This window comes from Homo sapiens, chromosome 12 (genome assembly GCF_000001405.40).
Source record: "Homo sapiens chromosome 12, GRCh38.p14 Primary Assembly".
NCBI lineage: Eukaryota > Metazoa > Chordata > Mammalia > Primates > Hominidae > Homo > Homo sapiens.
Genome location: NC_000012.12, coordinates 6267022 through 6287053, shown reverse-complemented (window position 1 = coordinate 6287053; position 20032 = coordinate 6267022). Strand labels below are relative to the sequence as shown.

Here is a 20032-nt window from a genome sequence, read left to right as displayed (position 1 = left end):
GCCTGTTTCCACAAGACCATGTTGAAAGGAATGTGTCCTTCATGACTGCAGCCTGAGTCACACAAAAGCCATTTCAGTCTGTACATCAGGAGTTTTGCAGCCATAAAGAGGACTCTCGCTGGGCGCGGTGGCTCACGCCTGTAATCCCAGCACTTTGGGAGGCCGAGGTGGGCGGATCATGAGGTCAGGAGTTCAAGACCAGCCTGGCCAACATGGTGAAACCCCATCTCTACTAAAAATACAAAAAAAAAAAAAAATAGCCAAGCATGGTGGCACGCGCCTGTAATCCCAGCTACTCAGGAGGCTGAGGCAGGAGAATCACTTGGAGGTTGCAGTGAGCTGAGATCATACCACTGCACTCCAGCCTGGGCAACAGAGCGAGACTCCGTCTCAAAAAAAAAAAAAAAAAAAGGACTCTGCTAGTACATACACATCATGGTGATTGCTCTTGTGTGCTGGTTGCCATGGTTATGTGACATGCAACAGTGGCATTTGATAAAACTGCTTCTCTGTAAGTATTAATGTCATTAACCTCCCAGCTGGTTTGTCTGACTTCTTTGCCATCCAGTGACTTGCAGCTGTAAGAGTGAGGGCAGTTTTGAAGGATATGCTATATTCTTGCACAAAATTAAATTTTTATTCTGGGAAATGTTGCTTTCTGCTTATTCTGGAAAAAAAAATAAATCAGTAGACTCTGATTGTGACTGATACAAAAGATCTGATGACTTCGAGCCAAGATCTGACATTTCATAGCAGATAATTCACTGAGGACAAGGAGTGAATAGCCAGTAAAACCCAGTTTCTAGATACTCTCTGAGGTAGCTCTTCTCTACAGTTTCTCTTTGCTGCTTGGGCTAAATAATCATTTACATTTTTCCTTCTTCCTAGCACATACAGCTATTTTATATTCCCAGTGAAATCCTGTTCACTGTTTATGTGGATGACATTATTCTGAGCTGTCAGATGTATATTTTCATTTTCATTGCTACTCTGATGAGTCAGTGAAGCACTTTTGAGCCATTTAATAACTTTTGTAATTTGCAGATATTGCACAAGCATATGAATGCATAAAGCATATTTTAAAATATAAACAACAACATGCATAGGATGGAAAATAAGATTAGCCCAGGTGGCTGGGCACAGTGGCTCATGCCTGTAATCCCAGCACTTTGAGAGGCTGAGGTAGGAGGATTGCTTGAGCCCAGGAGTTGGAGACCAGCCTGGGAAACATAGTGAGACCTTGTCCCCACAAAAAATAAAATTAGCCAGGCATGGTGGTACATGCCTGTGGTCCCAGCTACTTGGGAGGCTGAGGTGGGAGGATCTCTTGAGCCCCGGAGGTTGAGGCTGCAGTGAGCTGAGACTGAGCCTCTGCACTCCAGCCTGGGCAACAGAGTAAGACCCTGTTTCAAAAAACAAACAAGCCAACAAAAGGATTAGTCAAGGTAATTCAAGCAGTCCTGGAAACCCCTTGTGCCAATTTTAAGATTGTAATAATTATTAAAAACATAATCATTATTAGAACGTAATGATATTTCTGTCACAGCCATAATCGCTGTCATTTTTCAGATCTGTGAAAAGTAGAGGAACAAAATTGTTGATCACTTTGTCCTCTGAAACTATCTGTCTACCTGAGGACCTGTTGAGTAAACTGTCCTTGGGCCTCACTCTGAGAAACATTTCACTGCCTTAAGAGATATCAAATTCCTAAGAGATGGGCTGTGGGGAAGATGACTGAAGGACAGATGGGTGTACAAATCTGGAGGCTTGAGGGGAGACAGAGTGGACTCCGGCATTTTCCGAGTCCTACATTTCTTCCTCTGGCCTGGGAGTACGCAGCAATGATTATGATCTACCACCAGAGGGCACTGTGGCACTAGGGACGCCAGCCTTGGACCCCCCTGGGTCTGGCGTTCCTATTCTTCTCCACGTATTCTTGACGGCTACCCAAAGAGCTTTCAGCTCTTTAACCACATTAATTTCGTTTCTTTCCTTACATTCAGGGTTCTTAACCTGGCAACCATGGTAGGACTTTTTATGGTCAGTGAACCTCAGAATTTATATATATATGTCTGAGTAAGTGTATATACCTCTATCTAGAGGTAGTTTATAGTTGTAATCAAGTTCTCAAAGGTGTATGTGACCGTCTTCTCCCACCAAAAGTCAAGAATTATTGCCTAAGTAGTAGTATCCCCTTGAAGGGGTAGAATACAGTGATGTTAGGGACCAGTTGGTTGACCAGGGGAAAACACTTTTTATAGGTTATTTAATACAAGCCTCAAACTACCTTGCAAGATGTCTCCATTTTACCAATGAAGAGCCTGAAGTTCAAAGAGGCTAAAGATTGCCCGGGTCACACAGCTAGGAAGTGGTGAGGCTGGGGTTCAGTTCCTGGAGTGTCCAGCTCTGCGCTGTTGCTGCACTGAGAGAGAGCCTCACCCATTCATCAGCAAAGATGTGGAAGGCACCAAGGACATGTCCAGAGCTGTGCTGGGTGCTGAGGACAGTCTGGCGACCAAGCAGCGTTGGTTCCTGCCTTCGGGGGGCTTCATGCCTGGAGGAGGTGGTGACGGCGGTCGTGGGGGTTGGAGATAGACACTAAACACACAAGCGTGTAGCTACACACTGGGAACTGTGCTCCAAAGAAATGAACAGGGCACAGCAGAGACGGTGGGGAAACCTGCAGGTACACTGGCTAGGGGAGGCCTGTCCGAGGAAACAGCATATTAGCTCAAGGTGAAGCCGGGACTGTCTTCAGGGAGGGAGAGCCCGGCCTGGCTGGGCAGGGGGTGCAGTCAGCAGGGCTTTCTAGGCCAGGTCAGTAATTCAGACTTTATTCTAAGGGAAACAGTACACCATCGTGGAGTTTAAAACAAGGGAGAGGCTGGGCCAGTGGCTCACGCCTGTAATCTCAGCACTTTGGGAGGCCAAGGCAGGTGGATCACCTGAGGTCAGGAGCTCGAGACCAGCCTGACCGACATGGTGAAAGCTGAGGCGGGAGAATCACTTGAACCCGGGAGGCAGAGTGAGCCGAAATCACGCCATTGCACTGCAGCCTGGGCGACAGAGCAAGACTTCCTCTCAAAGAACCAAAAAGTAAAAGCAAGGGAGAAAGAAACTTGAGCTAATTTATGGGTTTTTCTTTTTAATAATGGCAAAAAAAAACAACATAAAATGTACCATCCTAACGTTTTTTTTTTTTTTTTTTTTTGACGGACTTTCGCTCTTGTTGCTCAGGTTGGAGTGCAATGGCGTGATCTCCGCTCACCACAACCTCCGCCTCCTGGGTTCGAGTGATTCTCCTGCCTCAGCCTCCTGAGTAGCTGGGATTACAGGCATGCGCCACCATGCCCAGCTAATTTTGTATTTTTAGTAGAGATGGGGTTTCTCCAGGTTGGTCAGGCTGGCCTCAAACTCCTGACTTCAGGTGATCCACCCGCCTCAGCCTCCCAAAGTGCTAGGATTACAGGCGTGAGCCACTATGCCTGGCCCCATCTTAACCATTTTTAAGGGTACATTTCAGTTGTGCTAAATGCGTTCACACTGCAGTGCAACCTATTTCCAGAACTCTTTGCACCTTGCCAAGCTGAAAGTCTGAACCCATTAAACAATAACCCCCCATTCTCCTCTCCCCCGGGCAACCGCCATTCTACTTCTGTCTCTGTGATCTTGACGATGCTAAGTGGAATCATACAGTGCTTGTCCTTGGCTTATTTCACTTTGCATAATGTCCTCACTGTTCATTCATGTTATAGCATGTGTCAGAATTTCCTTCCTTTTTAAGGCTGAATAATATTCCACTGTATGTAGCATTTTGTTTATCCACTCATCTGCTGATGGACACTGGGAAGATTCCTTTTTTTGTTTTTTTGTTTTGTTTTGTTTTGTTTTTGCAGCAGAGTCTCACTCTGTTGCCCAGGCTGGAGTGCCGTGGCACAAACATAGCTCACTGCATCCTCAACCTCCTGGGCTCAAGTGATCCTCCTGCGTCAGCCTCCCGAGTAGCTGGGACTACAGGCAAGCACCACCACACCAAGCTAATTTTTTAAATTAAAAAAAAAAAATTTTGTACAGACAGAGCCTTGCCATGTTGCCCAGGCTGGTCTTGAACTCCTGGGCTCAAGTGATCCTCCTGCCTTGGCCTCCCAAAGTGCTGGGATTATGGGTGTGAGCCACTGTACCCTGGCAGATTCCATCTTTTGGCTGCTGCAAATAACGCTGCTATAAACCTGGGTGTACAGGTATCTCTTTGATACCCTGCTTTCAAGTTTTTTTTTATTTTTAATTAATGTTTTAGAAATTATAAAATACATGAACATGGTACAAATTCCAGAATCACTCTGGCTGGGGTGGAGGAGAGATTGGGCGCAGTGAAAAGTGCAAGGGTGTTCTGTGGTGTGGGTCACAGTGGGGCTGGCCTGTCATGTGGTGTGGGCCTGCTGATGGGACGGGTGGACAGTGAGGCTCTGTTTTAAGGTCCTGGAGGCTTTCAAGTGGTGAGGTCAAGTAGGCAGTCAGGTATGAGTCTTGAGCTGAATGGAAGTCTGTGCCGGAGAGAGACTTTGGGAGTCAAGGTGCTGGGGATGGTATCTAAGGTAAGCGATGGCCTAGGCCTAGGCAGATTGCAAATGGAGAGGAAGGGGGCCGAGACCAGCCCCTGATGCTTAGAGTTGGGTGGAGGAGGCACAGAGTGGGAGGAAAAGCAGGAGGCTCAGTGCCAGGAGCTGACTGAGCAGGGAGCGGCCTACAATGGAGGCGACCACTGTGAAGGACGATGGGGAGAGGACGAGGCACCCACTGTGCTCGGCAGGCAGCGCAGAGGCTGTTGGTGACTTGGACAAGAGCAGTTTCAGCCCAGCCGGGAGGGAGTGGCAGAGGCCAGAGGGAGTGCAGCCTCGTGAGCAGGCAGCTCCGGAGAAGCTGGGCTCTGAAAGACAGCAGAGAAACGGGGCGCAGTCGTGAGTGAGGGGGAGGTGGAAAGGAGGGAGCTTTGGGTGATCGTTTTGGCTTTTTAAGATGCCCGTGTTACCAAATGCATGTTTTTTGTTTGTTTTGTTTTGTTTTGAGACAGTCTCACTCCTTCACCCAGACTGGAGTGCAGCAGCACGATCTCGGCTCACTGCAAACTCTATCTCCTGGGTTCAAGCGATTTTCCCGCCTCAGCCCCCAGAGTAGGTGGGATTACAGGCGAGCGCCACCACGCCCGGCTAATTTTTGTATTTTTAGTAGAGATGATTTCCCCCCGTTGGCCAGGCTGGTCTCGAACGTCTAACCTCAGGTGGTCTGCCCGCCTTGGCCTCCCAAAGTGCTGGGATGACAGGTGTGAGCCACCGCACCCAGCCCCCAAATGCATGTTTTGATGCTGAAGGGAAGATCTGGCAGGGAGAGGGTAAAGATGCAGTCAGCAGAGTGGGGACACATGAGAGGACAGAGTCCAGAGTGCCTGTGGACAGCTGGCTTTTGGGGGCCCCTCTTTTGTGCTATCAGGAAAGAAATAGGAGGCGGGGTCTCATGTAAGTGGTGAATTTGGCCTTAGGAAGTTAAGAAAGTTCTTGTCTGATGACTCTACATCCCCCACGAAGGGAGCAGTGTGTCAGCTGAAATAGGGGGCGTGGTTGGGGGAGAAGAGTTCTAGGCCACTGGAGACTGTGCATGGTGGCCACAGCGGAGAGTGGGCGAGAACCAACTTCACAAACATCTTAGGTCTGTTGGTGCCACTGGGAGCCCACTGGAGGGTGACGACAAGAAGTGACAGTGCCCTCATCTGCTCTGGTGGTTGTGTTTCCTCCACCAATGCTGGGCGCTGTTGGTGTGGCCTGGAGCGGTTCATCTGGGGCAAGGCTTTGTCAGGAGAGTATGACGGGAGGGAGAGAGAGGGAAGGGAATGGGGGACTTCTGCAAAGGAGTGGCTCTCATGAGGAACCCTTGTCTCTCTACTGGTTGAAGTGAGAGGAGAAACCAGAGGAGGGATGGCCTTGGGGGACAGGTGGACAGAGAGGGGGATGGAGACAGGGCCTCGGAGGTAGGTCAGTTTCAGGTAAAGGACAAGGTCAGGATGTGCCCCAGGAGTGGGAGGCTGGGGTGGAGGAAGTGGTCAGCAGAGCAGAAGAGGACAAGGAACAAGGAGGCCCTGGTGGCAGACAGGTCCCCCGCGCGGATGAGGAGGCTGCCTAGAATAATGAGAGGAGTGGGTGCAGAGCAAGACGGGAGCCAGGGGCCGAGCAGGAGGCCAGAGGAAGACAGCGACGAGGAGAGAGCGCTGGAATGGGATGCCCTGAAAGGATGTTCATGAGGGGGTGCGGTGGGGGTGGGGGTGGGGCGTAACTTCTGGAAGCAGCCATGTGGAGCCTGGAGGACACCAACCTCATTTCCTGCCCCTAAGGTGTGTGGGGAATGTGAGAATAAGATCAAGGCTAGATTTGAGGAAGAATTTTCTGACCCCATAGGATATGAGGCATGAAGACTGGCCACTAAAGGAACGCTAGGAAGTATCTCTTTTCTTTCCGGGGAGGTTTAGGACCAGAACTGACTCCCACCCCCACTCCTTCACTTCCTTCTCCTCCAGTCTTTTGGAGGTCTGTTAGGCACTGCCTGGCATCCTTTGGTCTAGGTTTCGTTCACTGAACAAACCTATTGAGCCCCAGGAGCTGGCCATTCTAGGAACTGGAGACACAGCAGGAACAAAACAGAAGGAGGAGTTCACCTCCCAGCAGAGGGTTTGTTTAGGTTTGTTCTTGGTGCAAAGCTATCCAAAGGGAGAGTTACTCATGGGTGCTGGAATTGGGATGTGGAGTGAGTTCAGAGAGTGAGTCACTCTTGCTGCCTAGGGGTGGGGAAAGGTGGAGTGGCAGTGGCCGGAAATGGAAAAAGGCCAGAACTTGGTGTTTGAGGACTGGGGCTGTGTGGCCTTGAGCAAATCATTTGTTTTTCCTGTTGCTGACCTGGAAAGCAGGGAAGAGTCCCTCATTCCCCACATTGCTGTGGAATTAAATGAATGTGTTGCTCAAATAACTAAGAGCTATGCAAATGATCCTTATGCCATTCCTTAAGTCTTCACTCCCTTCTCCTAGTATGGGCACAACAATAGCAGCCCCCTCCCGCCCACGGTAGGTGTATTAAATACAAAACTATGCACAAAGGCTCAGCACAATGGTAGGTGGCACCGGGTAAGTGCTGGTCACCCTCGTTAGTCCAGTCTCTGTTCAACGCCAGTGAATTTGCCACCATCTCAGGACCCAGCTCCACCGGGAAGGAGAAATGGGTAACTGTCCCAGGCAGAGGGCTGTGAGTCAGGGTGCTGGGGCCAGGCATGGATCTGCTGGGCACTCACATTCAGGACCTTAGTCCCTTGCGGATGACAGTGGAGGAGGAAGCCCCCCGATGAGGAAGGCTTTTCTGCCTGCTTCCTTCTCCCTTGCACCCCAGAGCCCCTCATCCATCCATTCATTTCGTACATTGTGGGACTATGCGGGCAAACGGGGCTTACAAGTCAGGATCGGGTGGAGAGCAAGACAGAGGAGGCCACTGCTCTCAAGGGCCTGCCGACCAGGCGCAGGATCAGGTCACTCGCCATCTCCCTGGAAGCTAAGGGCTATTTCTGGTCTCTCCTCTGCAGGCTGGGTGGGTAGTTGGGCTGTTCCAGCTTCCAGTTCCCACTTGGCCTTGGCTTGGGGTACCAGGAGAGGGCCCTGAAACTCATTTTTTAGAAGCAGAAGTGGGCGCGGGGGCAGTGGCTCATGCCTATAATCCCAGCGCTTTGGGAGCCGAGACCGAAGGATGGGCTGAGGCCAGAAGTTCCAGACCAGCCTGGACAACACCGCAATACCCGGCCTCTACAAAAAACGAAACAATTAGTCGGGTGTGGCGGCGCGCCCCTGTGGTCCCAGCTACCCAGGAGGCAGAGGCGGGAGGATCGCTTGAGCCTGGGACGTGGAGGTTGCAGTGAGCCGACATCGCGCCACTGCGCTCCAGCCTGGGCGACAGAGCGAGACCTCATTATCTACAAGAAAATGGAAAAATACTCCAATGCACCCCATATGTCCTTGGATTCCCGGGTTGCCGCCGATTGGCGCTTTCTCGCCAGAGCTCAAAGCCAGCTCGGCGCTCCGAGGAGGGCGCGGACGGGGCGGGGCGGGGCACCCCGGCTGCGCTTCCGCGCGTGGCCGCGAGGGGGCGCGGCAGGACGGGGCTGCCAGGGCGGCCGCGGGTGAGTCAGGGCGGCGCCAGGATGAGTCAGCCCTCCGTGGGCTTACCGCGCCCCCTCCGCCCCTGGCTTCCCCGCCCGGCCGCGCCCTGGCCGCCGGCTCGCCCTGACCCTCGGGGATCCCAGGCTCTGCGCCGCCCTGCGCCCTCCCGGGACTCCCCTGCCGCCAGGAGACCGCGCCTCCCGGGAACACAGGGCAGGGCGCGCGGGCCTGGGCCAGGCCGTTCCCGCGGGCCCTCCCGTCGCTCCTTTCCTGGGGCCGGGCGTGGCTTCCCTCCCAGAGCGGGTTTCGGGGCCGGCCCCGGCTCGGCCCGGATTCGAGGGACAGCTCTGCCAAGGCCCGGCCATGGGCGGCCGCCGCGGGGGAAATGTGCCCCCTGGCTAACACGTGGGGAGAAAGCCCTCTCCGTTCTTGGGTGTACCCCGGTGTTTCGGCCTCTTCTCAGAGCAAATCAGGAAAAAATAGGAACTCCTGGGTGGGTCCCCGCTTGGCAGGTTGAAGAAGGTGTCCTGACAGGATCTGGCTCAGAAGCCGAGTGTGTTAAAGCTGCAGAAAACTTGCCAAACCTGGGCCACCGGCCTCACCTTGGAGATCCCGCCCACGGACGGACGCAGGGACTCTCCAAAAGTCCCAGAACTCACAAGTCAGCTCTGCTGGGCCTCCCACTCACAAGGTGCATGCAAAGTGCCTAAAATAGTGCCTGGCGTATAGTCAGCGCTCCACTAAGATTGCATTTTACAGATACAGGTGACCCTGAGCAACAGGGCGTTCAACTGCGAGAGTACGTTTATTCGAGAATTTTCTGCTGTCTCTGGGACAGCAAGACCAACCCTCCTCTCCCTCCTCCCCCTCTTCCTCAGCTTTTATGCCTGATCTACTTCCATTTATGAATAGTAAATACACTTTCTCTTTCTTATGATTTTCCTAATAATATTTTCTCTACCTTCCTTTATTGTAAGAGTGCAATATATAATACATATAACATCAAATACGTGTTTACCTACTGTTTATGTTATCTGCAAGGCTTCTAAGTCAACAGTAGGCTATTGGTAGTTAAATTTTAGGGGAGCCAAAAGTTATACTCAGGTGTGGGAGCCTGTAGTCCCAGCTACTCAGAAGGCTGAGGTTGGGGGATTGCTTGAGTACCCGAGTCCAAGACCAGACTGGGCAAAAGCGAGAACGCTGTCATTGAAAAAAAAAATTATGTTTGACTGCTTGAGGATTGATGCCCCAATGCTTGCATGTGCTGTTCAAGGATCAACTGTATTTTATGTGTATAATTTGAGGTATATAATTATATTTATAGATGCATATTTATATAAACACATATGGATATTTATATATCTATGCCTACTAGCTGATCTTTATGTGTGCCAGGTACTGTTCCAAGTGCTCCTCAGGCATCAATGATCTCATTTGATTTCACAACCACACAAGGACATAAGGTGCTATTATTTATCTGCATATGGTAGCTGAGGAAACAGAAGCTCAGAGAAGCGAGGTAACTTTCTCAAGAGCACACAGCTAGGAAATATAGTGCAGGAGTTCCCCCGACTCCCTAACTTTAGAGGCCGTGTTCAGATATTGGTGGAGTCTGGTAACATACTTACTATCAAGGGTTCAGCCCTTCACAGTGTCTGAAGAGCAAAGTGTTAAACCCAGCCCTGGGAGGAGGAGCCGCTTTCCTTATGGAAATCTGCTGCCCTTGCTTGCTCTGCTCCTGCCACCAGAGGACCAAGCTCTCTGGTTGTTCCCAGGTGCCAAAGGGCCAGAAGAGACTCACTTGCCACTCTTTTCTCCTTGTTAGCTCTCCATATGGCCCCAGGACCTGGTCTCTGGCGCCCGCCATTCCCTTTGCTGGTTTGTTTTTTTGTTTGAGATGGAGTCTCGCTCTGTTGCCCAGGCTGGAGTGCAGTGGTGAGATCTCGGCTCACTGCAACCTCCGCCTCCCAGGTTCAAGCAATTCTCCTGCCTCAGCCTCTCCAGTAGCTGGGATTATAGACGCGCACCACCGTGCCCAGCTAATTTTTTGTATTTGTAGTAGAGATGGGGTTTCACCATGTTGGCCAGGCTGGTCTTGAACTCCTGACCTTGTGATCTGCCTGTCTTGGCCTCTCAAAGTGCTGGGATTACAGGCTTGAGCCACCGCACCCGCCCCCTTGCTGGTTTTGTAGACGACACTTGATGATTTGGGATGAGTTATCTTTAGCAAGGTTTCCCATTTACCTGTGAGCAGAGCAGGGCTGACCTGGGGTTCATTAGAATCTCTTGAGACACGTTCAACACACGGATTCCCCCGGCCTTTTGAAAGCAGTGGTTCTCAACCTTGATTGTACAATGATACAGTGGACTTAAAGGGAATGCTCGTGCTTGAGCCCTCCCAAGAGATTCCGATTGAGTAAATCTGTGCTTCTCCCTGGGCATCAGGATTTCCACAAGCTAGGCTGAGGTAGCCCTAGGAATCTATACTTCGAAGAAACAATTCCTGTGATTTTCCTGTGCAGCTATGTTTGCAAACTTCAGGGTGGACTCCCTTTCTTCTCACTGGTAGAGTGTCCAGGATTTTCCCACTAGGGTGGTTTTGGAATAGAGGTTAGAGGTGAGTGCTGCTTTTGGAGTCCTGTCCCTTCTCAGCCTCTTCTGGCCCCTGCCTCAGTTTACTGGATTTCTCTCCTTACCAGGCACCAGTATTCTCCCCCTCCCAGTGGCGTTCATTCCCTCAGAGGTTCTGGGCAGAGTAGACCCTCCTCTGAGCTTTTCACCTGGGGTTGGACCCTTGAACTCTGAGGGCTTAGAGCGGCCATGCTGGCAGCCCGGGAACTGTCATGAGCTCTCACATCTGTCTGCTTCTCCATGCGTGTGTCTGCTTCCCTGTGTGAGCTGGAGGGAGGGATTGCATCTCCCCTCTTCTGGGGCAAGTTGTTTCTCCCTCTCTTTCAGTATTGCTTTCCACCCTGGAGTAATGTTGGGTCTGGTATCTGCCAGCTTCATAGCATTTATTTTTTTTTGAGACGGAGTCTTGCCCTGTCGGCCGGGCTGGAGTGTGGTGGCGCGACCTCGGCTCACTGCGACCTCGGCTCACTGCAACCTCTGCCTCCCAGGTTCAAGTGATTCTCGTGCCTCAGCCTCCTGAGTAGCTGGGATTACAGGCATGTGTCTCCATGTCCGGGTAATTTTTTTTCATTTTTGGTAGAAATGGGGTTTCACCAAGTTAGCCAGGCTGGTTTCGAACTCCTGGCCTCAAGTGATCCACCTGCCTCGGCCTCCCAAAGTGCTGGGAGTACAGGCGTGAGCCCCCGCGCCTGGCTTGATAGCCTTTTTTGTTCTTCTTTGGATAGCAGGTATTTTTCCTGGGTTCCAAGTGTTAAGCTAGGTGTCTAGGGACCTGTGTTCTAGACTCACTCTGTACCCTGGGACATACCGTTTAACCTCTTTGACCCTCAATTTCCTCACCTGTTAAATGGGTACCTCACAAGATTGCAATGTGGTTCAAATAAGATAGTCTGCAAAGACGTGCTTTGGTGACTGTGAGTGACACCAATGTGATCCTGATGGAGCTTTCTCTTGCCTCGTTGGCAGAGTGAGGGGTAATTGCCCTTTTTAGGGAACCCCCAAGATGTCAGCAGCTGATATTAAAGTCTCTGACAATGGGAGGTCCTAGAATCTTGCCTCTGCTCCTCATTGAATCCGAGTGTATGCACTGAGTGCCTGCTGTATGCACCCAGCATGGAGGTGGGTTTGAGGCAATTCTGGGCTGTTTGTAGGGCAGTAAGGCAATCCACATAGGAAGGTAACTGCATCATGCTGGGTGAGAACTGCGTGCTCTAAGCAGTGAATGTGTTGGAATTTCACTGGGGTAGTGCAGCCTATGTAGCCAGCGATCGAAGACTTTATGCAGAGGAGGAATCTGAACTAAATGAGCTCAGGGGGGCAGGTTGGAATTAGGAGGGCGGAGAGGAGGATTAGAGCAAAGTGGCCCTGAGAGGGGCTGCAGAGCAGGGCTGAGGGGAGGCCTGTGGGAGAGGAGAGTGGCTTGGCAGGCCGCCCTCGCCCTGCTTCCTGGGGTAACCCCGCCCAGCAGGACTGACCAGCATCAAAAGCCTGTGTCACAATGAAGTCCCCTGAGTGAGGCTATGGCCCCCTCCCTTCCCACCTTTGCCTTTCTAAGCAAAAAGGAACATCCTTCTTCTAGGAGTCCCTCCTGGAGGGAGACCTGGTGCCCTGTCTGTCTAGAATCTGCAGCTCCCTGGTAACCATTTTTGGTGCATTTACAAGGAGGGAATACTAAAATCCCCTCCCATCCTGGGCCTTGCTCCTTGTCCCACTGGCAGGGGCAGGGGCAGGACAGAGTTTGGTATGCTGTGGTGTCACCACACCAATGAAAGCTGCTTGCTGACCACAGGCTGAATGTTCTAGGTGGCAGGTCACCCCTCCTGGACAGCGGCCATCTGCCGCAATCCTCCCTCCTTCGCTCTGGGTTATCTGGTACCCCCTGTGCCATCTCCCTCTGTAACTTCTTCCCCTCTATTTTCCTCCCCCCACAACATGGTATGCCAGCCCGAGCTTATCACCCTACCCTGAGCCAGCAGCATCCATTGTTCTCATGCTTGGGAATGGAGCAACAGGGGAAGTCACTCTGTTTGGGGCCAAGGAGGAAGGAAAGAGGGATGGGACTGAATGGGTAGGTGATGGAAAAAGTGACTTCCAGCCATTCCCTGGCCTGACCTAGATGGCAGCTTAGCGTGGTTGCCATGGTGATAGCCAGACAAACACCCACACCCCTCCCCACCAGCCCCAAACTGCATAATGGTGGTTGTGCCTTTTCCCAGCTCGAACCCCTCAGGCTTCTGCCTGGTGTGAAGTTCAGATTCCTCAGGCTGAGCTGCTCTTGCCTCAGTTTCCCAGCCTGACCAAAGGAAGCAGGTGGGGCCTCTGGGATAAAGAGCGTGTGCTGGCCCTTCCCTGTGTGCCCCGCAGACACACACTCCACCCCACTCCCCATGCCCCAGGGCCCACCAGGCTGACTTCTCCGCTGCTTCTGACGGGCTCCCTTGCCCTCTGGGTTCCAGTCAGCCAGCAGGAGGCACCAGCAGGAATCGGAGGGTGAGAGGGGAGTAGATGGGACACCCACTCCCTGCTGGGCTGCTGGTGGGCAGTGGCTACCTCCCTCTCCTGAAGGCCATAGCTCCTGTCAGCAGCTCCCACTGAAGCTCCAGGTCTCCTGGCTCGGGTTCCCTGCTCCTTCCCCTGCTCCCCAGCCCTGGAGGGGAGGGGCCTCGGCTCTTGCTGGCTGCAGTGGGCCTCACTGTCCCTTGTTCCTTGTGGACTTCCCTCAACCCTGCCCACCTCTCCACAATAAGCTCTTCTGTTGAATTCTCCTTGGTCACCCCTTTTGGATACATTCTGTTTGCTGCTGAGACCCTGACTGCTACTGAGAATGTCTCAACAATGAAGGGGGAGGCTGGATGCGGTGGCTTATGCCTGTAATTCCAGCACTTGGGGTGGGCAAGGTGGGCAGATTGCCTGAGCCCAGGAGTTTGAGACCACATGGCGAGACCCTGTCTCTACAAAAACTACACACACACACACACACACACACACACACACACAATTTAGCCGGGCGTGATGATGCATGCCTGTAGTCCCAGCTACTCAGAAGGCTGAGGTGGAAAATCACCTGAGCCCTGGAAGCCAAGCCGAGCTGAGCAGTGCTGAGCTGAGCAGTGAGCTGAGGTCACGTCACTGCACTCCAGCTTGGGCGATGGAGTTTGTCTCAAAAAAAAAAGGAAGGCGGGCGGCTGTCTCAGGACACCTTTTTTTGTGGTCAGGGCTCTGGCAGGCTGAATGTGTGGGTGGGGTGGCCTCCCAGGTGTAATCTGAGATGCACCCAGAAGGCTGCCCTGCCTGGAAATAGCCAGGCTGAAACCTGAAGTTTAGAGGGCCATTCTTGTGGTCTAAAAACTTTCGGGAAAGATTCCACATTCCCCAGGAAGGGGGGCGTCATAGCCAATCATTCATTTCTCTACCTGCCTTAGTTTCGTCAGATAAGAAGCTTGACTGCAAACTTCAGAAATGCAAAGACTGTGTCTGTCTTCACTGTGTAGACATGGGGCCTGGTGCCAAGTAGGTTGAAATAAACATCTGTTGAATAAACTTATTTACCACTCAACAATGAGTGGTGAGTGCCTACTGTGTTCCCCTATGTTCCAGCTGGAGTCATTGGGAAGCAGGATTTTTCACTCTGCTGAGGTTGCTGGGGAATATGGAGTTGGGTGGGGAGCTGTTGCTGCATGTCTCAACACTGCACCTTTCCAGGTGCACAGAGCCAAACCCCTTGCAGCTACCTTTGACTCTGTCTCACACCAACACTCAATCCATTAGGAAATCCTGCAAGGCAGATCCGAACCCAGCCACTCCTCACCCCGTCCACGGCTGCCAGCTGGCTCTCCCACCTGGAATCCTGCTTGACCTCCTCCCTCCTCACTAGTTTCCTAACTCCCACCTTCCCCACCTCCCACAGTCTATGCTCAACACGAGTCAGAATGACATTTATTTATTTATTTATTTATTTAAGACCGAGTCTCACTCTGTCGCCCAGGCTGGAGTGCAGTGGCGTGATCCTGGATCACTGCAACCTTCCCCTCCCGGGTTCAAGTGATTCTCCTGCCTCAGCCTCCAGAGTAGGTGGGATTACAGGCACCTGCCACCATGCCCGGCTAATTTTTTTTTTTTTTTTGTATGTTTAGTAGAGACAGGGTTTCACCATGTTAGCCAGGATGGTCTCGATCTCCTGACCTCGTGTTCTGCCCGCCTCCACCTCCCAAAGTGTTGGGATTACAGGCGTGAGCCACTGCCCTCGGTCTCAGAATGACCTTTAAAAATAAGTTGGGCTGGGTACTGTGGATCACACCTGTAATCCCAGCGCTTTGGGAGGCCGAGGTGGGTGGATCACGGAGTCAGGAGATCGAGACCATTCTGGCCAACATGGTGAAACTCCATCTCTACTAAAAATACAAAAATTAGCTGGGCGTGGTGGCGCGTGCCTGTAATCCCAGCTACTCAGGAGGCTGAGGCAGGAGAATCACTTGAGCCCGGGAGGTGGAAGTTGCAGTGAGCCGAGATCGTGCCACGGCACTCCAGCCTGGCAACAGAGCGAGACTCCATCTCAAAAAAAAAAAGTAAAGACATAAGTTGGATTATGCTATATTTTTACTCAAAACCCCATAATAGCTTCCCAGGACACTTAGAGTGAAACTAAAGTTCTTGCACTGGCCCCTGAGGTAGGCAGCCTCAGGTGATCCCTGCCTCGTGGTGGTCACGCCCTTGTGTAATCCCCTCCCCTGAGCGTGGGCTAAATCTGGTGACTTACTTCTAACCTACAGGATACTGCAAAACTGGGGGGCAGGTGGCTTGCGCTTGTAAATCTCGATATTTTGGGAGGCTGAGATGGGGGATTGCTTGAGCCCAGGAGCTTGCGATCACGCTGGGCAACATAGTGAGACCTAGTCTCTACAAAACATACAAAAATTAGCCAGATGTGGTGGTGCACGTCTGTAGTCCCAGCTACTCGGGAGGCTGAGGTGGGAGGATCGTTTGAGCCTGGGAGGTTAAAGCTGTAGTGAGCCGTGACTGCACCACTGGACTCTAGCCTGGGCAACGGAATGAGACCCTCTCTTAAAAAAATAAAAATAGGCTGGGCGCGGTGGCTCACTCCTGTAATCCCAGCACTTTGGGAGGCCGAGGCGGGTGGATCACGAGGTCAGGAGATCGAGACCATCCTGGCTAACACGGTGAAACCCTGTCTCTCCTAAAAATACAAAAAATTAGCCTGGCGCGGTGGCGGGCGCCTGTAGTCCCAGCTACTCGGGAGGCTGAGGCAGGAGAATGGCGTGAACCTGGGAGGCGGAGTTCACAGTGAGCCGAGATCATGCCACTGCACTCCAGCCTGGGCGATAAGGAAGACTCTGTCTCAAAAAAATAAATAAATAAAAAATAAATAAAAAAGACTATGTGGTAAAAGCAGTGGATATTGCTCCTGAGATTGGGTTATGAAAACCTGTGACTGCTGTCTTGCAGCCTCTCTGTCTCTCTCCTTCTTGGCTTGCTTACTTTGATTCATCAAACTGTCATGTTGGAGAAACTGTGCGAGGCCTCTGGGCAATAGCCAACAAGGAACTGAGACCCTCCGTCTAGCACCTGGTGAAGAACTGAACCTATCAAAGCCCCGTGAATAAGCGTGGAAGTAAGTGGCTCGTTCCTTCTCCAGTTGAGCCTTGAGATGACAGCAGCCCTGGCCAGCACCTTGCAGCCCATGAGGAATCTTTTTTTTTTTTTTTTTTTTGAGACGGAGTTTTGCTCTTGTTGCCCAGTCTCAAAAAAAAAAAAAAGAAAAGAAAAGAAAGAAAAAGACACCACGACTCCAAGATGGCGTCAGTCATACCAGTGAAGGACAAGAAACTTCTGGAGGTCAAACTGGGGGAGTTGCCAAGCTGGATCTTGACGCGGGACTTCAGCCCTAGTGGCATTTTCGGAGCATTTCGAAGAAGTTACTACCGGTACTACAACAAGTACATCAATGTGAAGAAGGGGAGCATCTCGGGGGTTACCATGGTGCTGGCATGCTACGTGATCTTCAGCTACTGCCTCTCCTACAAGCATCTCAAGCACGAGCGGCTCCGCAAATGCTACTGAAGAGGACACGCTCTGCACCCCGTACCCCACGACCTTCTAGGCCTGAGCCCCTCCGTGAGGAACACAATCTCGATCGCTGCTGAATCCTTTCATATCCTAATGGGAATTAACCCCCAAATAAAAGATGACTGGTAAAAAAAATTAAAAAACATAAAATAAAAATAAAATAAATAAAAAAGAAAAGAAAAGAAATATTTGATAAATGAATGAAGGAAGAATACACCTGAAAATGAGGGAAGCAGAGCTGGTAAATGTCCAAAGCCAGACCAACCCCTGGTGGTACCGTGTGTACCCTGGAGCCCAGTGTGCCTGGATGGTTCAGGTCCACAAAGCCAAAGACTTTCCTTTCACTCATTGGCCAGTCTGAATAAGGTTTACCGTCACTTGCAAGCAAGAGTCCTGAGTAATATATGGGATTAATGAGGAATATAGTGTGGCTGCGATGCTGAAGGAGGACAGGAAAGGAAAATGTAGGGGGCCGGGCGTGGTGGCTCACGCCTGTAATCCCAGCACTTTGGGAGGCCAAGGCAGGCAGATCACAAGGTCAGGAGATCAAGACCATCCTGGCTAACATGGTGAAACCCCGTCTCTACTAAAAAATACAAAAAAAATTAGCCAGGTGTGGTGGTGGGTGCCTGTAGCCCCAGCTACTCGGGAGGCTGAGGCAGGAGAATGGCGTGAACCCGGGAGGCAGAGCTTGCAGTGAGCAGAGATGATGCCACTTCACTCCAGCCTGGGCGACAGAGTGAGACTCTGTCTCAAAAAAAAAAAAAAAGAAAGAAAATGTAAGGAGAAAGGGAATGGTGGGGCAGCCATTTGTGAGCCTGTACTGTGTGCCCCGTAGTGGGCTGGCTTTGTCATGTATATCTTCGCTTTTCATTCTCCTGACAACCTTGTGAATTAGGTGTTGTCCCTCCCACTTCACAGGTGAAGAAACTGAGTGAGGTTAAGTGCCTGATCTAAGATCATAAAGCTAGCGAGTGGCAGAGGTAGAAGGAAATCCAGGTCTTTCTGATTTTAAAATCCCATGCTTTCTTGGTGGTTTATTTTGCTCTTTTTTTTTTTTTTTTTTTTTTTTGCTTCGTGGGTTGGCCAAAATCTCCAAATATTTTCACTACTGCTGGAGCCCTGGCAAAGGCAGCAAGTGGGGTGGCTGCCAGAGGCTGGGGCCGAGGAGGGAAGGGAGGAGGGGTACATGTGAGGGCCCTTTGTAGGCAGGTATTTATAAAGCTGGGGCTTCTCCCTTGTAACAAATATCAGTGATATTTCTCCTGGCTCTTAGATGGGGGAAGGTATCTTCGCCTCTGTTCGCAAGTACACATCCAGGGAAGGCAGTGCCTGGAGGTCAGGTGAGGCCAGGCTGGCCTGGAGAGGTGAACTAAGGCTGCTGGACTGAAGGCGTCCTGGAGGTTTTTTGTCCACCACATGAATGCCCCGCCTACAGCCCCCTCTGAGAGAAACTGAGCTTCTCCCGGCTCCCTGCTGCGCGTTCCTAGGGTGGGCATTTCCTGTCCTGACCCACATGGCCCTGTCCCCTCTGACCTCAGCTGACTGGCCCAGCATTGGGCACCCTGCCCAAGGGCAGCCCCACCACAGCTGACCAGGGGTCACTGGGGGGCTTTGGTGTCTGAGCGATGTGATGAGCTGGGCCTCCTGGTAGAGGGGGCAGAAGCAGGAAGACACATTGAAAAAGCAGAAAAAGAGGTAGCCCACCAGAGGGATGACCATTTCGGGCCTGGCATGGGTGCCTGAGCGCTGTCTGCTCTCTGAATTAAGAGGCCTGCTGCATGGCTGCTCCTGGGGCCTGGAACGCTTCAGTCCCTTTGTGTTGTCAATTCTGGACAAGAATCCCGTGCTGTTTTAAAAATTTTTTTATTACTTTTAAATTAATTTATTATTATTTTATCTTATTTTTAAAAATATTAACTTCCCATACTACACTGATGTGTATTTTTGAGTTTATACTCTTTTGTTTTTTTGAGACAGGATCTTGCTCTGTTACTCAGGCTGAAGTGCAGTGGTGCCATCTCAGCTCACTGAACTCCTGGGCTCAAGCAGTCCTCCTGCCTTGGCCTCCCCGGTAGCTGGGACCACACCTGTGCTCCACTGCCCTATTTTTATTTATTTATTTATTTGAGATGAAGTTTCGCTCCTGTCACCCAAGCTGGAGTACAATGGCACAATCTCGGCTCACTGTAACCTCTGCCTCCCGGGTTCAAGCAGTTCTCCCTGTCTCAGCCTCCCGAGTAGCTGGGATTACAGGCATCCACCACCACGCCTGGCTAATTTTTGTATTTTTTAGTAGAGATGAGGTTTCACCATGTTGGCCAGGCTGGTCTTGAACTCCTGACCTCAGGTGATCCACCCACCTCGGCCTCCCAAAGTGCTGGGATTATAGGCATGAGCCACGGCTCCTGGTCTCCCCTCTTTTCCAGTCTAGCTTGAGTGGGTGCGATTGTGGTCACCCAAAGAGGCAGACAGGACAGTCTAGGCTGCAGAGCCTGATGTGGTCTGCCCCCCCTCATTCACAAGGATCATGACGCTCGGGCCTGTGGCCTCCCACAACTGGAACCGTGGGGAGGGAAAGGAGGGGCCAGGGGGGAACATGGTTTTCAGTCATGACATGACAACATACCTCAGTCGTGGGTGTGTTTTAAGTAATCTGTTATTCATCATAACCAAAGCACTTGCGTGTATTTTAAAGCACATATTTGCTTCTGTAACCACATCAAATTTCCAAAGGCCCAGAAGGGTACACGCTGAAAAGTCCCCTTCCTTCCCTCTGGGCAGCTCCCTCCCTTGAGGCAGCCATCCTTACCAGAATTTGGGCATCCTTCCAGAAACATTTTGTGCACCTATCAGCAAACACTCTTGTACACATTCCTCCTTTCCCTTATTTAGTACCCAAATGTTAGCATATTATTCCCATTACCCTGTACCTTGTTTTTTTCATTTGTGAATAATTAACTAACTTTCCCCCCAGTGAGAGCAGGTTTGAGATCATCCCCACAACAAAGTCACTTCTGCCACTTGCCTTCCAGGGCACCTTTCCGAGCGGGAGAGGGGGTTAGTGAGCAGGGCCCGGGACCCTTTGGGAGGGTGTGTGTGTATTCATGTGTGTATGTGTGTGCGTGTGT

At 51.4% G+C, this 20032-nt stretch overlaps 1 long non-coding RNA gene and 1 pseudogene across 4 annotated transcripts in view, besides 4 other annotated features; both read left to right on the top strand.

Annotated features, from left to right (window-relative positions):
• The window catches only part of LOC105369625 (uncharacterized), a 71439-nt gene that overhangs the window by 8354 nt on the left and 43053 nt on the right, over window positions 1-20032 (top strand). The gene's annotated exons all lie outside the window — the stretch shown is intronic.
• Window positions 5426-5925: an enhancer, noted in NCBI's record as "H3K4me1 hESC enhancer chr12:6390295-6390794 (GRCh37/hg19 assembly coordinates)". NCBI's record gives its function as "activates a minimal SCP1, AML or CMV promoter by ChIP-STARR-seq in naive H9 embryonic stem cells {active_cell/tissue: H9 hESC(naive)}" and the evidence as "EXISTENCE:reporter gene assay evidence [ECO:0000049][PMID:30033119]".
• Window positions 6757-7051: an enhancer, noted in NCBI's record as "tiled region #10601; HepG2 Activating DNase matched - State 5:Enh". NCBI's record gives its function as "activates a minimal TATA promoter and a strong SV40 promoter by Sharpr-MPRA in HepG2 cells {active_cell/tissue: HepG2}" and the evidence as "EXISTENCE:reporter gene assay evidence [ECO:0000049][PMID:27701403]".
• Window positions 8061-8540: a silencer, noted in NCBI's record as "silent region_4158". NCBI's record gives its function as "represses an Ori minimal core promoter by ATAC-STARR-seq in GM12878 lymphoblastoid cells {active_cell/tissue: GM12878}" and the evidence as "EXISTENCE:reporter gene assay evidence [ECO:0000049][PMID:35858748]".
• On the top strand, window positions 16612-17029 carry ATP5MFP5 (ATP synthase membrane subunit f pseudogene 5; annotated as a pseudogene).
• Window positions 17474-18219: an enhancer, noted in NCBI's record as "OCT4-NANOG-H3K27ac-H3K4me1 hESC enhancer chr12:6378001-6378746 (GRCh37/hg19 assembly coordinates)". NCBI's record gives its function as "activates a minimal SCP1, AML or CMV promoter by ChIP-STARR-seq in naive and primed H9 embryonic stem cells {active_cell/tissue: H9 hESC(naive and primed)}" and the evidence as "EXISTENCE:reporter gene assay evidence [ECO:0000049][PMID:30033119]".